The 23,856-nt window shown below is 42.5% G+C and overlaps 1 annotated feature.

Annotated features, from left to right (window-relative positions):
- Positions 12,164-12,213: an enhancer, noted in NCBI's record as "active region_24088". NCBI's record gives its function as "activates an Ori minimal core promoter by ATAC-STARR-seq in GM12878 lymphoblastoid cells {active_cell/tissue: GM12878}" and the evidence as "EXISTENCE:reporter gene assay evidence [ECO:0000049][PMID:35858748]".

The raw sequence follows: 23,856 nt of genomic DNA, 5'->3' as shown, positions 1-23,856 counted from the left end.
AATAAAAAATGAGCTGACTCCTATATCCTTGGTAAGTGACATATCTAGTCATTTATGCTTCATTATTCTTTTTTTTATGTTTTTATTTTTATTTTTTTTTGAGACAAGGTCTAGCTCTGTTGCCCAGGCTGGAGTACAGTGAGGCAATCTCAGCTCACTGCAATCTCCACCTGTTGGGCTCAGCAATCCTCCCACCTCAGCCTCCTAAGTAGCTGGGACTAAGGTGTGTGCCGCCACGCCCAGCTAATTTTTGTATTTTTTGTAGAGCCAAGATTTTGCCATGTTGCCCAAGCTGGTCTCGAACTTGCGAGCTCAAGCAATCTGCCTGCCTCAGCCTCCCGAAGTGTTGAGATTACAGGCAGGAGCCACTGTGCCCTGCCTATGCTTAGTTATTCTAAAATTGTATCTCTCTGTGGACATTTAGGGAAAGAGAATGTTCCTTCCCCGTCTTTCATGCCAGTCAGAGCCTCTATTCCAGGGTGACACAATGCGGGTGGTCAGGGAATGCTGTTCTATGGCCACAGCTTAAAGGCCCTGTGGGGTCTCTACCTAAGGGACTCCAGCCATCAGGAGCAAAGAACAATGCTATCTGTAGAGGAGGGATTTGGTAGATGGGATTTTACCAGCACTCTTAACATTGGATCACAGCCGAATCTCAGGCAGATTCTAAATATTGAAATCCTCTATTGTTACTATTTTGTTTCATTTCATTTAATTATTAATTTTTTTTTTTTGAGATGGAATTTCTCTCTTGTTGCCTAGGCTGGAGTGCAGTGGCGTGATCTCAGCTCACTACAACCTCCGCCTCCTGGGTTCACGCCATTCTCCTGCCTCAGCCTCCCGAGTAGCTGGGATTACAGGCGCGTGCCACTGTGCCCGGCTGATTTTGTATTTTTAGTGAAGACGGGGTTTCTCCATGTTGGTCAGGCTGGTCTCCCAACTCCCGACTTCAGGTGATCTGCCCGCCTCAGCCTCCCAAAGTGCTGGGATTACAGGCGTGAGCCACTGAGCCCGGCCGGTTTTATTTTAAGAAATAAAATGATGGGTTTCACTAATGATCTCTAAGGTCTCTTCCAACTCTAACATTCTATGATCCAAAAATTAGGAGCCACCACTATTGAGTGTTGGTCATGTGCCAGCTCCGGTGCCAAGCACTTTGCATACACAAATTCACTGAATCCCCCCAGTTTCCTCGCCAGGAAAATGGAGATAAAAATAGTACCTCTCTCATAAACAAGGATTGCATGAAATAACTGACATATATAATATAGCCTGGTATTTAGTAAAGTCTAGCTATTATTATTTTTACTTTTACTTATTCCTGACTACTCAGAACTCTCCATGTGGCCTAAGATCTACTCTTCCTTGAGAGATCTAAGCTCCATCGTAAGTGCCTCTTCTTTCCTCATGATGCCCCGAGTGATGAAAATCACCTGAGCTTCAGCACTCAGCCACCATTAGTATGTATCCATGATGGGCTAATAGTTTGGAAGGGGAACGTTTTCCAGAGTATTCAGCATAGAAATTGGTTCATAAATCAATTGTGTTACATATCCGCAAAACCCCATTCTACAAGCCAACTCTTCGGTGTCTTTCATTGTTACCTGTGTTTGTCCACCTTGAACCAAATTGCCATATGATGCAACAAATGTCCAACCTGCAGCTTTCTGCAATCTACATAAACCAGAATTTTTTGTGTATAATTAAACTAATTCGCATGCATTATTAGAAACACATGTTTACTGATTAGAAAGGTAAAACTATAGGCTAAGTCTCTAGCATTTATCTCGGTTTTGACAGGACAAATTTCATAAATTCACGGACAATTTTCAAGTGATGCATATCACCCATCCCAGAAACTCTTCTCAGTCCCTTATCTGCTCTTTGCCATTGCATAATTATTCATACCTTTTGTTATCAACTTTGGCTGCACATAAAAATCACCTGGAGAACTTAAAAAATACTGATACTTTGGCTACAATCCCACAGTTCTGATTGAATGGGTCTAGGGTGCAGCACGGGCATCACAAATTTTAAAGTTCCCTCTGGTGATTCTAACTGCAACAAAATTTGAGAACCACTGAGCAATAGCAGTGTCAAATGAACATGATTGTTTAATTGGCTATAGTTTCATTCTTTTACATAAATACTGGGGATTGATTTATAAAATACCTAAAAATGTTCAACAACTGTAAGCCCTACTGTATACCAGGCCATGTTCAGGAAGCTAGGCATTTCCAGAACATTCTATGCACTGATATTATTTTGTCTTTTTTTGTTTGTTTGTTTATTTTGAGACAGAGTCTCACTCTGTCGCCCAGGCTGGAGTGAAATGCCACGATCTTGGCTCACTGCAACCTCTGCCTCCCAGGTTCAAGTGATTCTCCTGCCTCAGCCTCCTGAGTAGCTGGGATTACAGGCACACATGACCATGCCTAGGTAATTTTTGTACTTTCAGTAGAGACAGGCTTTCGCCATGTTGTTCAGGCTGGTCTTGAACTCCTGACCCAGGTTATCTGCCCGCCTTGGCCTCCCAAAGTGCTGGGATTACAGGCATGACCCATCACGCCTGGCCTTGCTCTGATATTATTTTGGAGGGTTGCATAATTTTACAATTCTATAATGGGTAAAGAAATATTCCACTAGACATGGGTAGGGTTCAGAGGAGAAAGAAAAGGAGAATCTGAACCACAAAAATAAATAAAATTAAATAGTTCTTTACTGTGGGATTCCTCAGAAACTTTACTATACTAGTGTGCATGTAAATCTTCAAGAGCATTTCTCAAGCACATTTGATCACAGAATCCTCCCACCACCCTCTCCACATTCCATTGCCTAACATCTTCTGGAACATTCTGGTGAGTACTTTGAGAAATGCTAGTTCAAAAGGTTTCTATTTGGCAAGAGGAAAAGAGCAGGGTGCTGAAGGAAGCACAGACACAGAGCTGGCGCCCTCAAGGACTTGATTCCACATTGGGAACAAAGGCTTTGTCTTCTGGGAGGCCGACCTCAGAAGTTGATGGGTCTTTTTTATCATTGCTTGTTAAGACCAGCAGCAGAGCAGTTGGTTGATCAGCAGTGTCGTTGTCTCCCAACTGCTGTGAGCCATAAGGAGTTCCACATGTGGAAAGTCTGTTAGTAGCACAGGACGTTTGGCGTCCCTGTGGAGACAGAGTGAGGATTGACAGCATGTGTTTGGTGCTCTTCTCTGGCCAGGGCAGAGAGGAAAGCAGAGGGAGATAAAGGGTCCAGTCCCGCTCAGACCTAGCACTCCCTAGGACTGCTCTGCTGACTGCTTCCAAATTCTGGCAGCGTGTGCCTAAGCCAGCTTTCTTAGGTATAAAATGGGGATATGTACTACCTAAGCGTTCTTGTGGGGACTAAGTATGAACCATAAGGACCTGTGCAAATATTGGAGGTTACTTTTTTTTTGGAGACAGGATCTCACTCTGTTGCCCAGGCTCAGGCTAGAGTGCAGTGGTGCAATCATGGCTCACTGCAGGCTTAACCTTCTGGGCTCAAGCCATCCTCCTGCCTCAGCCTCCCAAGTAGCCTCCCAAGTAGACGTGAGCCACCAGGCCCAGCTAATTTTTAATTTTTTTTTAGAGATGAGGTCTCCTTATGTCGCCCAGGCTGGTCTCAAACTCCTGGGCTCCAGCAATCCTCCCATCTCGGCCTCCCAAAGTGCTGGGATTACAGATATGAGCCACCACACGCAGCCTGGAAGTTACTTTCATTATCATAATTATTATCACCAATAAGATTCTCTTGCTAAGTTCATCTGAATGATAACCCAGGGGAAACTTGATTTGAGAATCCATAACCATGCACAATTTTTGCACTAGTTTTTCATAAATGTTGCAGAGCAGGAGAGAGAGAGATGGAGAGAGACACACACACACAGTCATTTATTCAACAGTGTGGGGGTCCTAGAGTCTTTAGAAGGAAAGTGTTTGTTGTATGTGCTCTCTGAAACCTTGAAAGTGAGCTGAAAATCCACATCATTCTACTGTTTAATAGTCCATGGTCTCCTGTCATCATTCCAAATGTGTCTTATTGACAGACGGTTTCTTTGGGAGAGCACCTCAATGATTAATTGAATAGAAAACACCACTCATCTTTCTGCAGGCCGGCGCTTGTTTAGTAAGGTTAAATTGAAGCAATGCACAAGGAATGGAGAGAGTAGAAGAGCAGCTTATTTTCCTTCAGGCTTTTCTCATCATCCCAATTCTATTTTTGCAGACATGACTGTGAACATGGAGACAGCTTCCACCCACCTTAACCAGACATATCTAGTCCTGCTGGCGACTCTCAAGCTGGAGCCTAGCAACCCAAAGTCATGGTTCTTTTCATTAATAATCCTTCTTGATCCACTATTTCATCCTGTTTTATTTACTAATTTGCTAGAATATGCATTGAACTTATTCTCGAATTGGCACTGTGAACTCTCTGTTCCTCCTTTTATTGTGCAATTTCATTCTGGGTGGGTTTGTTTTGTTTCTAGCTAAATAGCTTCCCTCCTTTCCCCTCCACCCATCCTGTGTGAAGATCCACCCTTTCTTTTTTTGGTGCCACTTTCAGGCCCTGGACAATATCTCCCTTTGATGGCCTTCCTCTACCCAGATAGAACTCCGTGGAGTTTTTCTGTCTGCTGAGACCATCCACGTGGTATTTGGTCTAACGGGCCCCAGCATGCCTGGAGAGATAGAAATACACATGCGCTTTGAATGGGACCTTTACTTCTAATACACAAGAGAATTATGTCTTTCTGCTTGATAAATATGACCATGCTGAGTGCCCCTGACTTTCAATCTTACAAAAACCAAAATAGCAATAAGCTTTCATGCATGTACTTGGGTTTCACAGGTGCCATCTCATTAAGTCCCCAATCACCAGCTCTCTGCTGAGCTTCACTAGTGGGAGTGCGTGCTTGAGCAACCTTCTCCTCATTCAGAGTCAACAGGAAGCAGGCAAAGGTGCAGCTTGCTCTTGGGGGTCTGGAAGTCAAGAGAAATCGGTTGTTTTGAGGACTTAAGAGAACTTTTTCAATTCATAAGCTCCATAAAATGTAGGGGAATCTCTTCTAAAATGTAAACAGCCATATTATAGCTTGGGATATGCTACAAATTAGGTGTGAATGTACACACTGAGGCAGGTGCACCTTGCCCGGGACCCCTCTTTCCCCACCTTCTACCCCCGATATCTCCACAGATTCCCTCCCTCCTTTCACTGAGGTTTCTGTTCAAATATCATCTTATCAAAGAAAGTTCCTCTGAACTCCTCTTCTAACGAAACATCCAGACTTGTCCCCTCCCATCCCCTTACATTGCTTTGTTTTTCCTTTTAGCACTTATCATGAATAACATACTACTTTATTATACTCTTTTTAGTAAATATCCAATACCATGTAAAAAAATAGTAAAGGTTATAATTTTAAAACAATAAAAATGATTTTTTTAAGTGATAGACCAGGGTAAATTAAAGAAAAAAATAAGGAAAATACTTTTTAAAGGCATTGTGCTATTTCTTTAGTTATGGTGTTTGAGATGCTGTGTGATATGGGGGAAGGGGCTTGGCTTTGTGGAGACACAGACTTTGATGCCCGTTCTGGCTCTCTGATGTCCAGGCTTAGTGGCATTGGTTCAATCCCTCGCCCTTTGAACCTCTATGTCCTCATCTGAACACAGAAATAATCATTCGTATCTTTCTAGGATAATGGTAAAGATCAGCAAAAAATCTACAGTGTGCCTAGCATGAGGTCCACCCTTATTAAATTAGAGTTACTATTGTTACCTTAATTTAAATTCCATTAGTGATATGTTTCCTTATTTAATTCAAGTAGCTGATAGCATTTAATTTGTGAAATCAGTGTCACGAATGACATTTCTCGCTTTGGACAGGAACTGAATTACTTATTACCATGGAAGAGTAAGTTTACTCACTTTGCAATTATAATATTAATATAGATTCCTGGTACTTCAGAAACTGTTCAGCCTTATTGATACACAACTGAAAAATTAAAATAAGCAATGGTACCGCCCACCAAAAAATAGAAAGAAAGAAAAAAAGAAAAGAAATGAAAAGTCATAGCATACTACCTCACCAAAGGAGGCAGACAAGGAGGCTTAAGCTATACAACTTGATCTCTGACCTTGGAAAAATGACCCAAAGTACAGTGTGAACTGATGATAAGTTCTTAATAACTGACTTGTTTTCTGAGAGCCTGGCTATTAAAAAAAAATTCCCCTTTCTGACTATTATTATATTCAATTTAAAAATATTATTAAGTGATTGCAACTTATCACACCCTATGCTTGGCCTTGGAATACCACTATGCATGGGTCAGATCCAGACCTGTTTCCCAGGACTCAGATGCCAGTGGGAAATAGAGACAAGTATAGATTCTCTACCACCCAGTGTGGTAAGAGTAATGATGGATAGGAAAGCAGCACATATTACAGTGTTGGCAGCCATCTGTTTCTTCAGTTGCAGTTGGTAGGTGCATAGGTTTATTTTTATGATTCTGCATCATAACGTACGTGTATATTACATACTATTTTGATATACCAAGTGTTGCATAATTTAAAAGGCGAAGTAAGAGGGCTGTGGAGGCAGCCAGTGCATCCCTGTTATAACCTGGTAGATGTCACATCTAAGCCAAAAATAGAATGATGAGTGTGAGCCAGAGTAGGGAAGACAGGCAGTGGAAAGTATTCTCAGGCAGGTGGAGCACGGGAAAGAGGTCTGGAAGGAGGTGAGGGAGAGCAGACTGAGTAGTTTAGCATGGCTGAAATGTGGAGTGCGAGGCAGCAAGAGATGAGGGATGGCAGTAGAGACCTACACAGGACCGCAAACACAAAAGGCCTTGTGAGCCAGTCAAGGAAATGGGACTCTATTTCAAGGACGGTGAGGAGCCATGGAAGCATCTTCTAAAGCTGAGTTACAGGATTGGACTCACACCCTAGCTGCAGAGTGAATAGTGAATCAAAAGGAGCAAGACTGGAAGCAAGAAAATCACTGAAGACACATTTGTTTACTCATACGTTTTGCAAAGATCAGAAAGTTTTAAAATGCACAGCACTGGTAAGAGTGCAGACAGGCAGGGAATATAAATCGACATGCTCTCTTTAGAGGGCAATTTGTCAATATCTATCAAAATGAAAAATTCATATGCCTTTGATCTAACAGTTCCACTACTGTTAGGAATATATCTGGCAAATAAACTTGCACACCTAAGAAATGTGTGGAAAATGTTGTTTCAGCACTGGTAGTATGAAGATTTTTAAAATAAGTTGGATCATTCTAGGTAGAGATAAAAAGAGCACTGAGGGGCCAGGCACCGTGGCTCACGCCTGTAATCCCAGCACTTTGGGGGGCCGAGGTGGGCAGATCACTTGAGGTCAGGAGTTCCAGACCAGCCTGGCCAACATGGTGAAACCCTGTCTCTGCTAAAAATATAAAAATTAGCTGGGCGTGGTGATGCATGCCTGTAATCCCAGCTACTTGGGAGGCGGAGGCTGCAGTGAACTGAGATCGCACCACCACACGCTCCAGCCTGGGTGACATGAGCAAAACTCCATCTCAAAAAAAAAAAAGAGCATTGAGATGTGTTAAGTGATTAAAGCGAGATCACAAATATTGGGTATAGTATTCTGTCATATAAATATCAACAGATATGTTTACTGATACACGTATATCTTTGTTGATGCACAGAAAAATATGTAGAAGAATGTATTCTTGGTTTCCTCTGAAAAGAGAGCACCTGATCTGGAAGAAATGAAAGCTTACTTTTCACTGAATATAGTTTTCTTTTTTCTCTCTTTTTTTTTTTTTTCTTGAGACAGGGTCTCACTCTGTCACCCAGGCTGGAGTGCAGTGATGTGATCTCAGCTCACTGCAGCTGCCACCACCCAGTTTCAAGCTATTCTGCCTCAGCCTCCTGAGTAGCTGGGATCACAGGCACACACCACCATGCCTGGCTAATCTTTTCTGTATTTTTTCTTTTTTTAGTAGATATGGGGTTTCACCATGTTGGCCAATCTGGTCTCAAACTCCTGGCCTGAAGTGATCTGCCCATCTCGGCCTCCTAAAGCACTGAGATTACAGGTTTGAGCCACTGTGCCTGGCTGTTTTCACTGAATATAGTTTTCTATGATGTGATATTTTCATCATTTTTACGCACTTTTTTTTCTTTTTCTGAGACAGGGTCTCTATCCGTCACCAAGGCTAGAGTACAGTGGCGTGATCATGGCTCACTGCAGCCTTGACCTCCTGGGCTTAAATGATCCTCCCACCTCAACCTCACAGGTAGCTGGGACTCACAGGCATGTGCCAGCACACTAGGCTTATTTTTTAAAATTTTTTGTGGAGCCAGGGTCTTGCTATGTTGCCCAGGCTGGTTTCAAATTCCTGGGCTCAGGCAATCCTCCCTCCTTGGCCTCTCAAAGTGCTGGGATTACAGGCATGAGTCACCATGCCCAGAGAGTATGCATTATATATATTATATATATTTTATATATAATATATACACATATGTGTATATATACGTATATACACACACACACACACACACATATATATATACGTATATATATACACACACATATATATATTTTTTTGAGACAGAGTTTTGCTCTTGTTGCCCAGGCTGGAGTGCAATGACGCAATCTCAGCTCACAGCAACCTCTGCCTCCCGAGTTCAAGCGATTCTCCTGCCTCAGCCTCCTGAGTAGCTGGGATTACAGGCATGTGCCACTACACCCGGCTAATTTTGTATTTTTAGTAGAGATGGGGTTTCTCCATGTTGGTCAGGCTCGTCTCGAACTCACGACCTCAGGTGATCTGCCCACCTCGGCCACCCAAAGTGCTAGGATTACAGGCGTGAGCCACCGCACCTGGCCATATTATATTTTAATTAAATGCAATGGGGATTTTTTGTATGTGTGTTTAGAATGAATTTTCCAGTATCTGGCAAAAGATGACATGACCTGTCATTCTTCAGTCCTGGCCTACCTAGGCAAGCCTTTATACCCCCAGAGTTCTGGGAAGAGGGCTCTTCCAGGGTGGTCTGCATGCCTTCCAGTTTTCTACCATGGGAGAGGAAGGGAAAGCAAAAATCTTCTGTTTTAGAAATTTAGGATAATCAGGGATCTAATTATAAACCTTGTGCTGTTTATCAACTCATCCCAAAGACATGTTGGGTCCGTCTCTTATACCTTGTCAGATTGTCTCCTAGACTAAGCCTTGTTCCAAACAGCTGCTGAAGCCCTCTGTCCTGGATGGGCCACGGCAGAGCTGGAAATCAGGCCCTTGGAAGGCAGCCCAGAGAGGGCTTCCTGCATGCCCAAGGCCATCTCTTCCCACTCTCTGCTTCCGCTCAGGCCCACCCGTCCTCTCTGCAGCCTGAGCAGAGACAGCACACCTCCGTTAGGGGTAGATGATGCCCAGACGGTGGAAACCAGGCCTGGAGAAGAGAACTCTTCCCCCACACATGCATCCACACAGAGGTTCATCAGGGAACCTTTCCACTAGACCCTCAGAGACAGGGGCACTACCCCTCAGGATTCCCAGCCGGTGAACTGAGACTCAGTTGTTTTCCTGAAGGTTAGCCAGGGGCTGGAATCCAGCCCATCCACTCCGTCCTTGTTCCTGCCCCTATAACCTGTGTATAAAGAGCTCTTCATTTATAATTTGGTGTTTACTTCAAAATACTCCAGGGGACTTCTGCCCCATCTTCCAACCTCCAAGATTCTGAATAATTTATTTTAAAAGTTGCTCACAGCATGTTTGCTCCATGAGGTGCGGTAGGGGAAAAGAGAGTGTTATTTGGAAAGGCTGTTTCAGTTGATAGAAAGACAGGTGAGCAATTGTTTTTATTTTCTAAAATCCTCATGCAAATATATCTGTACATGTAATGGCTAATGATGAGCTGGCAAATTTGGCTTGGCATTGAATGAGATCCAGCTCAAAATTAGAATAAGCCAGCGGTAAGACCAAAGGCCTCTCAGCCCAGGTTTCTGTCCGACCATTCCTTTCATTTGCATCATGGTTTCTTAATTTTGAGAAATAAATAGCCCCCTTTTAAGGGGGGAAAAAAGTGTTCGAGGAAAATGGATTTAAAAATTATATTTGCTTGTAATAATCACTGCAAAACAGAAGTTTTGATTTTATAATTGGAAGACTAATAACTTTTTAGAAGGTCTTGTAAATGAAAACACAAGATAAAAAACTCTCAGAGTGGCTGAGCACAATGGCTCATGCCTGTTATCCCAGCATTTTGGGAGGCTGAGGTGGGAGGATCACTTGAGTCCAGGAATTCAAGACTAGCCTGGGCCATATAGTGAAACCCCATTTCTGCCAAAAATTAGAAACTTAGCTGGGCGTGGTAGCATGCACCTGTCGTCCCAGCTACTCAGGAGGCTGAGGTAGGAGGATTGCTTGAGCCCGGGATGTCGAGGCTGCAGTGAGCTGTGATTGTGCCACTGCACTCCAGTGTGGGCAACAGAGCAAGACCCTGTCTCAAGAAAAACAACTCTTAGAGAGACCTCAGATTCCAGTTTGAGAAACAGTGGAAGCCATTTTTCCTGGGAAACCTCTGGTAGATGTTATGTACAACCTGGACCCAGACCATTGACCTGTCAGCCCAGCAGCCGTGCCCTAAGATGCCACTGTTCTTAGGTAGTCCCTTCACTATTAATAACTCTAAAGACACTGAGGCATTGGAGAAGTGGACAAAGACTGATACGTTGTGAGGGCTGGAGGGCAAAGAGAGAAAAACTTGCCACTTGGAATGCAGCTAGAGCGGAGCATGACTGTGGAACGACCCTGAGTTGGAAGACAGCTGCTGTGAGCAGAGTGGGAGAAAGAGAGGGGTACTCCTTTTTGGGGGCTGCTGCTGCAAGACACCAAGAACTAACTGGGCAACTTAAAACATCAGAAATGTATTCTCTCACAGTCCTGGAGGCTGGGAGTCTGAAATCAAGGTGTCAGCAGAGCCATCCTCTCTCTGATGGCTCTAGGAATGGAGCCTTCCATGCCTCTTCCAGTTCCTCATGTTTGCTGGCTATCCCTGGTGTTCCTGGGCTTGTAGAGGCATCACCCCAGCCACATGGCCGTCTTCTTCCTGTGTGTCATCACATCCTCTTTCCTCTGCACATCTGCCTCTGCGTCTCTGCTCCTCTTCTTAAACCAGTCTAAATTAGTTCAACCATTGTGGAAAGCAGTGTGGTGGTTCCTCAAAGAACTAAAAACAGAACTACCATTTGACCCAGCCATCCCATTATTGGATCTATACCCGAGGGAATATAAATCATTCTACCATAAAGACACATGCACGCATGTGTTCATTGCAGCACTATTCACAATAGCAAAGATACGGAATCAACCTAAATGCCCATCAACGGTGGACTGAATAAATAAAATGTGGCACATATACACCATGGAATACTATGCAGCCATAAGAAGAGAATAATATTATGTCCTTTGCAGGAACATGGATAGAGCTGGAGGCCTTATCCTAAGGGAACTAACGCAGGAACAGAAAACCAAATACTTCATGTTCTCACTTATAAGTGTGAGCTAAATAATGAGGACACAGAGATACAAAGAGGGGAACAACAGACACTGAGGCCCCCTTGAGGGAGGAGGGTAGCAGGAGGGAGAGGTTCAGAAAAAAAAAAACAGGTACTATGCTTAGTACCTGGGTGATGCAATAATATATACCAAACCCCCACGACATGAGTTTACCCATAAAACAAACCTGTATGTGTACCCCTGAACATAAAAGTTAAAAAAAAGAAAAGAACACCAGTCATATGGGATTAGGGCTCACCCACATGTCCTCATATTAACTTGATTACCCCTGTAAAGACCCTATCTCTAAATAAGGTCACATGCTAAGATACTGAGGGTTGGAGCTTCAGCTTGTACCAAGAGCAGGTTGGGAGAAACCTGGGTGGGTAAAGAGGTGGGAAAACCAAAACCAGAAGAGGGAATGGAGAGGCTGCCAAATCTCTTCAATCCACCCTACAGTGGTGTGCAGAGTCGCCTGGACTCATCTCATTAGGACAGAATGAGAATCTCACTTTATACACCACAAAACACCACAGAGCCCAATTGTTCGCCTTTAGACTGTTGTGCAGATGCAGCTCCAGCACATGGGGCACACAATTTAAAGCACAAAGCAAGACAGACTTTCTCTGTTATTAACAGAAGTCTCTGGAAAGAGCTACTCTTGATGTGACGAACTCACAGAGGTGAAAATGTCCTTCTAGGGCGATGGCTCAGCAGAGGCTGGCGATCGGCCAGGAAAGCACATCTGGTGCCGCTCAACCGGATGCCCTGGGTGGGTGATATTTACAGTAAAATACAGCAGCTCTAATGAAATTTCCACAGTGGTTACTTGGCAAATTGATGGTTTTGTTGAGATAAGGAGAAAGATGGGACGAGGGGGGAAAGGGGGAGAGCCAAACTGAGAAAAACACACACACACACACACACACACAGACCATTTTAGTCATTAGGAAAGAAAGTTGTGAGCATACCAGTCAGGGCACTTGTGATTTAAGTCAGAAAACGGTTTTGATTTAAGTTGGAATTCAGCTTTGAGGGCATGGGATGACCTGGCCTTATAATCCCATAGATTTGAAAGTGATTGCGGATTTATAGACACTCACTGCACACATAGCCTGAGAGCACAGACTCTGCTTTCAAGGGGCGTGTGATGTTTTAAAGAAAGTTCAAAGTGCTGCTAGAAATGTGTCTAAAACAGACAAGTGACTCTGAGGACACATTCATTTTTTATTGAGAGTCCGGCTAAACATGTAGTTGTGACAAGATGTTAAAAACCGTTATTTAATCATGTGTTCCCTCCCTTATGTTCATGCTGGGAACATGCCTGGGTGAAATCATGGAAACACCACACCCAAGATTCTGTTGTTAAAGCACTGATGACTTCTGACCCAATCATAAAGTTGACAGCAAAACCAGCTTATTTTTCAGAGTTCAAAAGAACAATCCTGTAATCTGTAAGATGTTTGAGAAAAAGTCCTAGTCTTAATGTTCTTTTTCTTTAAGCTCTTTGTGGAAGTAAGCTGGTTATAACTAATAGAGAAATAAAGAACAACTCATAACTCTTCCCCTAAATACTGATTCCAGTGACTTCCATGCTGAAAGAGCATCCACGGGTTTAAAAACTCTGTTCAAGGAACAGTGCCAGGTACCAAGGATACAGGAGGTATAACACAGACCCTAACACAGACTCCAATTGCAAGGGATCTGCACTTCATTTATCCATTCATCCTTCACCAATCCATTCAAACAGCCAACGTTTGTTGAAGATTTGCCATGTGCCACCTTTCTTTCACCAGGGAGATGGAGGTCCAGAAGGAAAATCTTTCCCGTCAAGGAGGCTCAGAGTCTATTGGGAAGAAAAACAGGTAACAATTATGCTGCTTCTTCAGAACCAGGTCTACAGGTGACCACCAAGAACTGTGGTCTGTGAGTAACTACTAAGGAAGGAGAAAGCACTTGTGGAAAAGCCAGCCTCAGTATTAAGGCAGACTCTGTGGAGGGCCAGATGAATGGCGAGGACTGTAAGTGTTCTCAGAGACAGAAGAGGGGGGTATTCAGCACATCTAGAATATTAATATATTGAGCTTCCAAGTATATTGGAGAAGAAAATAGAAAATTTAAAGGAATTTTATAACTACACTTTATGGGTAAATATTCCATTTCTCTCATTTTTCCCTACAATCACAACTGTATCAAATATAGTTCCCTAGACCGTGCATGGTGGCTCATGCCTGTAATCCCAGCACTTTGGGAGGCCGAGGCAGGTGGAATGCTTGAGCTCAGGAGTTTGAGACCTGCCTGGGCAATGTAGCGAATCCCCATCTCTACAAAAAATACAAAAATTAGCCAGGTGTGTGGCGCATGTCTGTAGTTTCAGCTACTGTGGGGGCTGAGGTGGGAGGATCACTTGAGCCTGGGAGGTGGAAGTTGCAGTGAGCCGAGATTGTGCCACTGCACTCCAACCTGGGTGACGGAGTGAGACCCGCTCTCAAAAAACAAAACAAAACAAAAAAACACTTTTTAAAAAATAGTTCCTATAACAAGACCTGAAACCCTTCAGTGATTTGGGATGGGAGCGTGAATGCTAGGAATGGGAAAAGGATGGATCTAGTTGAAAATAAACATGAAACAAGGCTCTCAGAGATGACTTCTCTTAAGTCCATATTGGAACCCCCAGAACACTTTCTCTCCACTCCTTTCCTGATGACTGACCCTCTTGAGAGCTCTCTCCTTGTCTATTCTCCTTCCTGGACAACGATCAGCTTGGCCTGGCTTTATTAGCACTTATAGTGAATTCTTCATCTGAAAACTACCAATGAACTACCAACCCTGTCTGCCATAATAAGCCAACAGCCCTGTCTTGGTTATAGACAGCTAATATCATCTGCACTTAAAGTCTCTGCTCCAGGAGATAGCCTCAGTCTTCTCCATATCCTATGATGAGAGATGGATGAGAGCCCTTTAAAATAAATGTATCTACACATGCAAAGGGCTGTTAAAATTAGTTTTAAGCCATGGGAAGAAATTACAGAGGAATATATATTCAATGAGACTGCAAGCTTAAATTACTGATAGACAGACAGAATGGAGGAGAATGCCAGATGAAACTCTCTGATTTATTGGTAATAATAATCTGACTCTATGTCAGATAGAGTATAGGAATTACTATCAATAATGAGCACTTATTTATATATCTCATATAGGGAGAGATCAGGAGAACTGTTCCAAAGATGTACATGAAAGTATAATATGCCAGGAGCAGATAAGTATAATTTTATTGATTAGTCAACTGGGTTAGGACCTCACTTGTGGAAGAATGATGTGCACAACCAAGTTTTAATTGTGCTTATGTCACTGGGCAACTCTAGAGATGCCTCCTCTTTCTCTTTTCCTGTGATTTCTCCCATCTCCTCCACCTCTTAGAATCCTACTTGCCCTTCAAAGCTTAGCTCACTTCTCCTCCCTGATGTGAACACTTCCTTAACTACAGTAGGCTGTATATTAGCTTCCTCTTCTGATCCCCAGCTGCAGTTATTTTCTGAACAAACCATTGGCACTTTTCTCTTTTCTTTTCTTTCTTTTTTTTTTTTTAATTATACTTTAAGTTCTAGGGTACATGTGCACAACGTGCAGGTTAGTTACATAGGTATACATGTGCCACGTTGGTTTGCTGCACCCATTAACTCATCATTTACATTAGGTATTTCTCCTAATGCTATCCCTCCCCTAGACCCCCACCCCACGACAGGCCCTGGTGTGTGATGTTCACCGCCCTGTGTCCAAGTGTTCTCATTGTTCAATTCCTACCTATGAGTGAGATCATGAGGTGTTTGGTTTTCTGTCCTTGTGATAGTTTGCTCAGAATGATGGTTTCCAGCTGCATCCATGTCCCTGCAAAGGACATGAACTCATCCTTTTTTATGGCTGCACAATATTTCACGGTGTATATGAACCACTGGCACTTTTCATATACTACCTTACATATGTATATATCTTGTCTCCTCAATTTGAGGTAAGAACCTCGAGAAGAAGGACCCATTTTAGCAACATCTTATGAATAGCACCTTACACATTTATTTATTGAACCTACTGCATGAATGACAATAGAGGTGCAAAGGTGAACAGTATACCTGCCCTGTCTTTGAAGAGCTAGGGCCATTGACAAGTAGCCTCTGGTGAGTTAGTCAGTTGAAGATTCAAGAAATGACTCAGGAACAGAGTACCAAGCAAACATTTGGCCAGAGAGAATAAGAAAGGAGAAGAGAAAAAGCTGGCAATTATGAGTCAGGGTAGACTTGATTGCTAAAACAAACAATGTAACGTAACATAAAAAAGTTCCCGGTCAAGTCACATTTCAGTGTGGTCGATGTAGAGCTCTGCTCATGCAATCATTCAGGGATCCAGGCATCTGTCAACTTGTGACTGTATGTCAGAGTTCTCTACATTTATGAGATGTATAAAGAAAGACTGAGAGAGCATAGCAGACACACCTAGCCCTCCAAGTAACACACCTTGCCTCCCTGAGATGTGTCACGTTGATAGGAATCAGTTCTGTAGTCTCACATAGATGCCACAGGATGGGAAATATGTCTAATTGTGTGCCTCCAAAAGGAAAACTCAGGTATTGGTAGTTTCTGCCATAGTAGATAAGGTTGAACAAAAATTAAAAGATGAAAAAGACTATGATAAGAAACAGAGCCTCAAACTCCAGATTTTCCCTCTCCTTTTCTTCAAAGAGATGGACACCAGTATAATGGTCCCCCGTTTGAAGAAAGACCTGCATGAAGTGTATGGGGTTGGGCACAGCAGAGGAGAATAATCTTTTCTCTGTGACTAATTAGCCATATGAAGAAATGAAACAATCAATGAGGAAAGTATTTTTTTTAATTTTAGGTTCAGGGTTTCATGTGCAGGTCTATTACACAGGTCTATTGTGTAATGGTGAGGTTTGGGCTTCTAGTGAACTCATCACCCAAATAGTGAACATAGTGCCTGATAAGTAATTTTTTGACCCTTGCCCCCCATCTTTCTTCCCTGCTTTGGAGTCCCCAGTGTCTATTGCTTCCATCTTTGTGTCCATGGGTACTTATTATTTAGCTTCCACTTATAAGAGAAAACATGCAGTATTGGATTTTCTGTTTCTGAGTTATTTCACTTAGGATAATGTCCTCCAGTTCCATCCATGTTGCTAAAAAGGACATTATTTCATTCTTTTTATGACTACATAGTATTCCATTGTGTATATGTACCATATATACATACATATTTTTTGAGACTGAGTTTCGCTCTTGTTGCCCAGGCTGGAGTGCAATGGTGCAATCTTGGCTCACTGTAACCTCTACCTCCCAGGTTCAAGTGATCCTCTTGCCTTAGCCTCCCAAGTAGCTGGGATAACAGGTGCCCGTCACCATGCCCAGCTAATTTTCGTATTTTTAGTAGAGATGGGGTTTCACCATGTTGGCCAGGCTGGTCTCGAACTCCTGACCTCAGGTGATCCACCCTCCTCGGCCTCCTAAAATGCTGGAATTATAGGCGTGAGCCACCACACTGGGCCACCGTATTTTCTTTATCCAATCAATCATTGATGGACACTTAGGTTGATTCCGTGACTTTGCTATTGTGAATAGTGTTGTTATAAACACTGAATGCAGGTGTCTTTTTGATAAAATGATTTTTTTTTCCTTTGTGTAGATACACAGTAGTAGGATTGCTGGGTCGAATGGCAGTCCTATGTTTAGTTCTTTGAGAAATCTCCATACTGTTTTCCGTAGAGGCTGAACTAATTTACATTCCTACCAACAGTATATAAGCATTCTCTTTTCTCTGCATCCTCTCTAACACATATTATTTGTTGACTTTTTAATAATAACCATTCTGACTGGTATGAGATGGTATCTCTTTGTGGTTTTAATGTGCGTTGCTCTGATGACTAGTGATGTGGAGCATTTTTTCATATGTTTGTTGGCCATGTGTGTGTCTTCTTTTGAGAAGTTTCTGTTTATATCCTTTGCCCACTTTTTCATAGGATTCTTTGCTATTTTCTTGTTGATTTGTCTAAGTTTCTTAAAGATTTTGGATATTAGCTCTCGTCGGATGCATAGTTTGCAAATATTTTCTCCCATTCTGTAGGTTAACTGTTTACTCTGTTGATTGTGCAGAAGCTCTTTAGTGTAATGAGGAAAGGATTTGAACCAGGTAAATATTAATCTCGGTGAACTACTATGTGAAAGCAACTGGGTACTTTTCCTCTGTGTCCTCAAAGGACATGGCCAGTGATGGGGACTTCCCTAGTCAGTGTGTAGCAGAGAGCTTCTGTGGGCCCTGAGGAAAATACCTGTTTAACTATCTTGCTTTAGGGTTTCTAACTGTTCTATGAACACCCTGATAATGAGCTGACAAGCTATAAGGCCAGGAGCATTTGAGGCCACATGGGGAGAACAAAGACAGGAATATCCCATTCAGCTGAGAATCACAGTCACTCAAGAGGTCAAGCAAACTCAATTTCAAAGAGCACTGGCGGGGGATCCTACCAGTTGTAGGGGTCAGCAAGGAGGTGAAATTGGGAAGAGGCAAAATACTATAAGACCCTACAGAGTTATTAATTGGAAGGAACGACTCAGTACTGCTGGCTGTCTTGTTTAACCCTTTCTAGCCTTGTATTTTTCAAAAGCTCTCGTAAGTCCCAGTAGCTTGGTCAGCCTAAAGGAAGCCAGCAAAGTAGAAGAAAATTTTAGATGCTTCCCACCTAACTGTTTGCACACCTTGCTGCCTCCCAAGCTTTCTCCCCTCCCTCCCAGGTGACATGTTCCCTTGCTGGCTACCAGCTGCTCACCAAGAACCACTCCATTTCCCCCACCTCTACACAGTGAACTGGAATTCTGTAACTCAGTCTAGCTTGTGAATAACTGAAGGCTGCATTAACTGTTAATGCACGAACCTTCAGAATATTTGCATTTTAAAAGAGGATCTTATAAAGACAAGTGAATCAACCATTAATGGTAGGCTTTGAGGGTTAGAGGTGGGAAGCTATTTTTATTTTGCCTATTTTATCATCAGGGTGGCCTTATACCAGCGGTCTAACATTTCTTTGAAATAATTGATCTAGTAACTGTTTGATCTAGTTAAAGGCTTAGATTTTCTTCATATCATAAATCTGGATTTAAATCAATCATGGGATTATGTGTTGAATTTTTTCAGAGCAGACTGCCACATGTTAATTCCCTTACAATTTCAGTTTAGAATAGCAGAGCCACAGGGTTTCTTTTTTTCCATGTCTCTCTTTGACATAGTTTTGACCTATGAAGTGAACAGTTTCTTTCTAAAACACCACGACTCAAGAGGTAAAGGCAGGTCAAATATGTAATCCAATGGGTATGTTTGGGGAAAATCACCTATAAAGTGAAGAGCTTTTTGATGGGCTTTTTGATGGGCTGTTTCTCATTGTGCTGGTTTCAGCATTATTGCTGTTTTAAGCTTGTGACTTAAAATGACTTCATTTTGTTCAGTTTCTTTTTTTTTTTTTTTTTTTTTTTTGAGTCGGGAACTGGGGAAGGCCTTGGTGGGATGGCCCATCTCTGCTCCAGGTGCATCAGCTGGCGGAGCTGGGCTGGGCTGGAGGATCCACTCCAAGACCATTTACTCTCATGGCTGGCAAATCCCTGCTGGCTATCGGCTGGGACCCCAGCTGTGGCTGTCTCCCAGAGGCCATGATTCCTCTCCGTGTTGGCCTCTCCATGGCTCCCTGGGCTTCCTCACAGCACAATGGCTGGGTTTCAAGAGTGAGTGTGCCCAGAGGCCAAGGTGGAAGCCAATGGCTTCTTCTGACTTCGACGTGGAAGCCATGAAGTGTCACTTGCTCTGCATTTGATTGGTCCAGCAAGTCGCTAAGCCCAGCCCAGAATCAAGAAGAGGGGAGTTAGATTCTACTGCTCAAAGGAAACAGTAGCAAAGCATCTGTGGCCATCTTTAATCTACCACAGACATTCTCAGATAAGAACTGTTACCAAAAGAGCCACAAAATATTGCTTACTGTGTTAAGACCTCCACAAAGGAAGCTGTCTTCTGAAGTTATAGTTCATTCTTCTCTGAAAATACAACCTTTCATTCACTGGCCACTGCTGACTTAATAAATGGCCTCATGTGTTACAGACTGCTTAGTCTTCAGGTTTGAGGGCTTTCTGGATGCTCCTTGGGGCCTAGGTTCCTGCAGCTGGAGTGGACTGTTTATTCGTTTTCCCTACAGTCCATCTCAGAGGTGACAGATGAGGTTTAACATTTTTAACCCTTGTGAGTAGTTTTGGCTTTAAAAGAAAAGAACAGGAAAAATTCCCTAAACATATTTATTAAACAAATGCTTACTAAATTCCTATTATATGCAGAGCACTGTACCGTGTTCTGGAATGTGGAGGGAGGGAGTGGGGGAGATGAGTAAGTCACATTTGCTGTCCTCAAAGTCACTTGTTGTGTAATGGGGAGACAGATGTGTTCATAAATAACAGAAAGTAGTTAAAGAACGCGAGCCTTGAGGAGGCCGAGTGTGGGTTGAGAAAGGAAACAGTTGACTGTGAGTTTCCGAATCTTAGTGCCAGTGTTTGTGTTTAGCAGAGGGAGGTCGCATTCCCGTAGTATGGAAGGTGGTCCCCATCAGGAGAAAGTAGAGGTTAGGAACACGAGACCTAAAGTCAAGCGATGTGGCAAAGAGAACAGTAGCGTGGCATAGAAATTAAAGCTCCAGACCTACCTAAGTCTCAATCCTGGCTCTGCTAACTGTGTGACCTTGGGCAAGTTACTTAATCTCTCTGTTCCTCTGTATCATTACTTGTAAGATAGGGATAATGACCATATCTAACACATGGAATGGTAAAGAGAATTATTGAGTTGAGATTTATAAAGCCCTTAGAATAGTGCCTGGCACACTATACTAAACTCTCAATAAATGGTATCTATTATCTTATTGTGATCTGGGTCTGGAATTGGACATTAACTTAATGTGTTATTGAGACACAATATTTTCACTCATCAACAATTGTAGGCAGCTCATTCTTTACCTAACAAAAACATGTACTGTGGATGAGGAGTCAACTCCATCTTCTTGTCACTGCAAATATAGGAGCAGTATTGGACTTGTTGTAGACACTCATTGGTGGTGTAGACAGCAGTTTTGTTGCATGAATGATGGTTTATGCTGTTCTATTTCCTTGGGCAAAGGCCTTGATGTTGGGTAGAATTTGAATATCAATTATTAAATGTCACTTATCCAGTGTGTGTGGCATGTCTGACACGGTTCCAGGCATACGCTCTGAGTGATATGGCTGTGACACACCTCGTGATACAGCTGTGAGCAAAAGAGACAAAGTCCTTGCTTGTCGGCTCCTGGAGTTTACCTTCTGGTGGTGAGAGAAAGATGTGGGGTATGCCAGATGGGGACACAGCATGCACAGAGCAGAGAGAGGAACAAGCAAGATGTGCGTGTCCAGGGAACACAGGGAGGCAAAACAGATCAGAGCAGGTGGCCCGTATGGTGCAGCACAGGAGATAGGAGCAGAAGGTCATTTTCATTCCCAGAGAGGAGGTCAAACAGAATGGCCCATGCCAGAATTTTTCACCCCCTAGAGCTCCATACAAATGGGTTGTATCTAATGCATGGGTAATTGATATTCAGGCTCCAGTTAAGACCAAAAAAGTGAGGTCAGGCATAGACTGCAGCAAAAGTCTAGGTTTCATGTAACTTTCTGATTTCAAGGGTTGTCAAGCATTAAAACCAAGCCAGAGCATGCAGTAAATTTTTCTTCCCTGGAAATGTTTAAGAATAAAAGAGCATCAAATTTTAGGAATGCGTTAGGAAGAAACTAATGTTCAAGAAAAAATAATCCTTGAAGAAGTTCAATCTCTTCCAAGACTCTCACGCTATAATCTGTGGAATGCCAGGTGTTCATTAGAAAGTTTTCTGGATATGGAGGGACTTACAATTCTGAATATAATGACTGTAGTTTCTTTCCATGGACTCAGATATCTGACAGGCAGGCAGAGGGCTAGATGATTGTGCAAGATTGGTTACAAAACCAGCTCTTACCAACTCTCAGATTCTGGGATACCATCAGCTGATAAAGGAGAACAATAAAAATAGCCCACAGAAGAAATTTCCCAAATCATGCACTAAAGACACACATTTTGAAAATTAACTGATGCTCCCAAATTGGAGAACTGAACACATGCTCATGCTTGCCCCAAAATAGAAATAAGTTGGATTACAGTGAAAACTGGAAAGTCTTTAGAAAACAGAGCAGAAAGTAGGAAAGGATCGGAAAATAACAGGAAGAGTGAGTAATCCCAACTTCACACTGTGAAAAACCAGAGGCTGTCTGCATCCAGGTCTGCTGCTTAGATCACTTAGATCACAACAGAGCTCTTCTCCACTGAAAGGTCTGCAAATTCTCATGGGTATTTAGAAGCTCTTCCAAAGCTGCTTGATAAGTACAATACTCTTTTAAATTTTTCCATGAATACTAATTTGGGGGCCAGGCGTAGTGGTTCATGCCTTGTAATCCCAGCACTTTTGGAGGCTGAAGCGGGAAGATTACTGGAGCCCAGCAGTTTGAGAACAGCCTGGGCAACATGGTGAAACCTAGGCTCTACAAAAAATTTAAAAATTAGCTGGGCATGGTGGTGCGTGCCTATAGTCCCTGGTACTTGGGAGGCTGCAATGGGAGGATTACATAAGCCCAGGAGGTCGAGACTACAGTGAGCTGTGATTGCACCACTGCACTCGAGCCTGGGCAACAGAATGAGACTCTGTCTCAAAAACAAAATTAATCTGGGGCTTCATGTGTAGCCTCCTAATTCTTCTGACATTGTGAACCAGAGTGGGAGTAATTTTTAAAAGTTTGCCTTGGAGGTTTCTCAATCCAACTTATGCCCAAATCAAGGGTAGGATTTGATATTGCACATGGAAGTTAGAACCACAGTCCTTCAATATGTAGGCAAAACAGGCTGGTTTTTCAATTCCTTTTCCAAAACCAAAGAAAATTAACCAACTACTTCTTTGACCTTCTGTTATTCAAAAGCAGCTTTCATCCTCCTTGGAGGCCCTGTATTCTAACAGTCAAGTCAAGCTTTTAGATCATATTCTGACATTCCAAATGGCAGAATTTTTATTGAAATTTTATGTTCAGCTGCTTGGAAAATGTTATCCAAACCTTTGAATTTTTCTGTCAAATCAATCCATTTTAATTTAAAAGCTATTTATTGTACACATAGCAGATATAGTTCTTCAGAATCTGTGGGAGATTGCTTCCAGGACCCCTGCAGATACCAAATTTGAGGATGCTCAAGTCCCTTATATAAAATGGTGTAATATTTGCCTATAACCTAGTCACTTATATAAAGTCCCTTATATAAAATGGCGTTATATTTGCATATAGCCTAGGCACATCCCCCATATAATTTAAATTATCTGTGGATTACTTATAATATGTAATACAAAGTAAATGTTATGTAAATAATTGTTATACTGCATTGTTTAGAGAATAATGACAAGAAAAACAGTCTGTGAGGTACAGGTGCAACCATTCAATTCTTTTTTTTAAGAATATTTTTGATCTGTGGTTGGTTGAATCCACAGATGTGGAATCTGTGGACACAGAGGACCAACTATATATAGAACCTTGGATACTATGGTCTATTCTAGCCTTCAAGAAGCTTGTGGCCTCACTGAGCAGCTAAGACATGTGCACATGAAATGTAAAATGCCAATTAAAGGTAGCCCATGATTGAGAATGCCCTGGGTACATATCCATGGGTATGATAGGCATTCTAAGGAGCAAGAGATCATGCTAGGTTCATGTGGTTCTAGCAGGTGAAACTGGAATTGGGTCTTAAAGTATGAGTAGGAGTTGGTCAGGTAGAGAGGGCAGGAGAAAGCTCTCCTGGCAGGAACATAGGCTCAGAGATGACGATATCAGATGGAAGTATCAAACTAGCCATTTATTCCTTTTGAAAATTTCTGTGGTCACCCCACATAACAGTCTTCATGGTCACCCTCAACAAATTTAAAGGATACTTAAAAGCCTGGAAATTCTATTTATCTGGAATATTACATTGGGCTCATGCTATTTTCTGCTCCATGCCATTTTGTACCCTCCCAGGAAGAGCCCCGCATATTCTACCATGATCACTTGAAAACACCTTGAACATAAGAAGCCAGAATTATTGGCATTAAATCAATAACCGAGTTTTGCTTTGTGAACCAAGACATTATTTTTGCCAGATGAAAGGAGAGAAAGAGAC

Source organism: Homo sapiens, chromosome 6 (assembly GCF_000001405.40).
Source record: "Homo sapiens chromosome 6, GRCh38.p14 Primary Assembly".
Lineage (NCBI taxonomy): Eukaryota > Metazoa > Chordata > Mammalia > Primates > Hominidae > Homo > Homo sapiens.
This window is presented reverse-complemented; position numbering and strand designations above follow the sequence as displayed.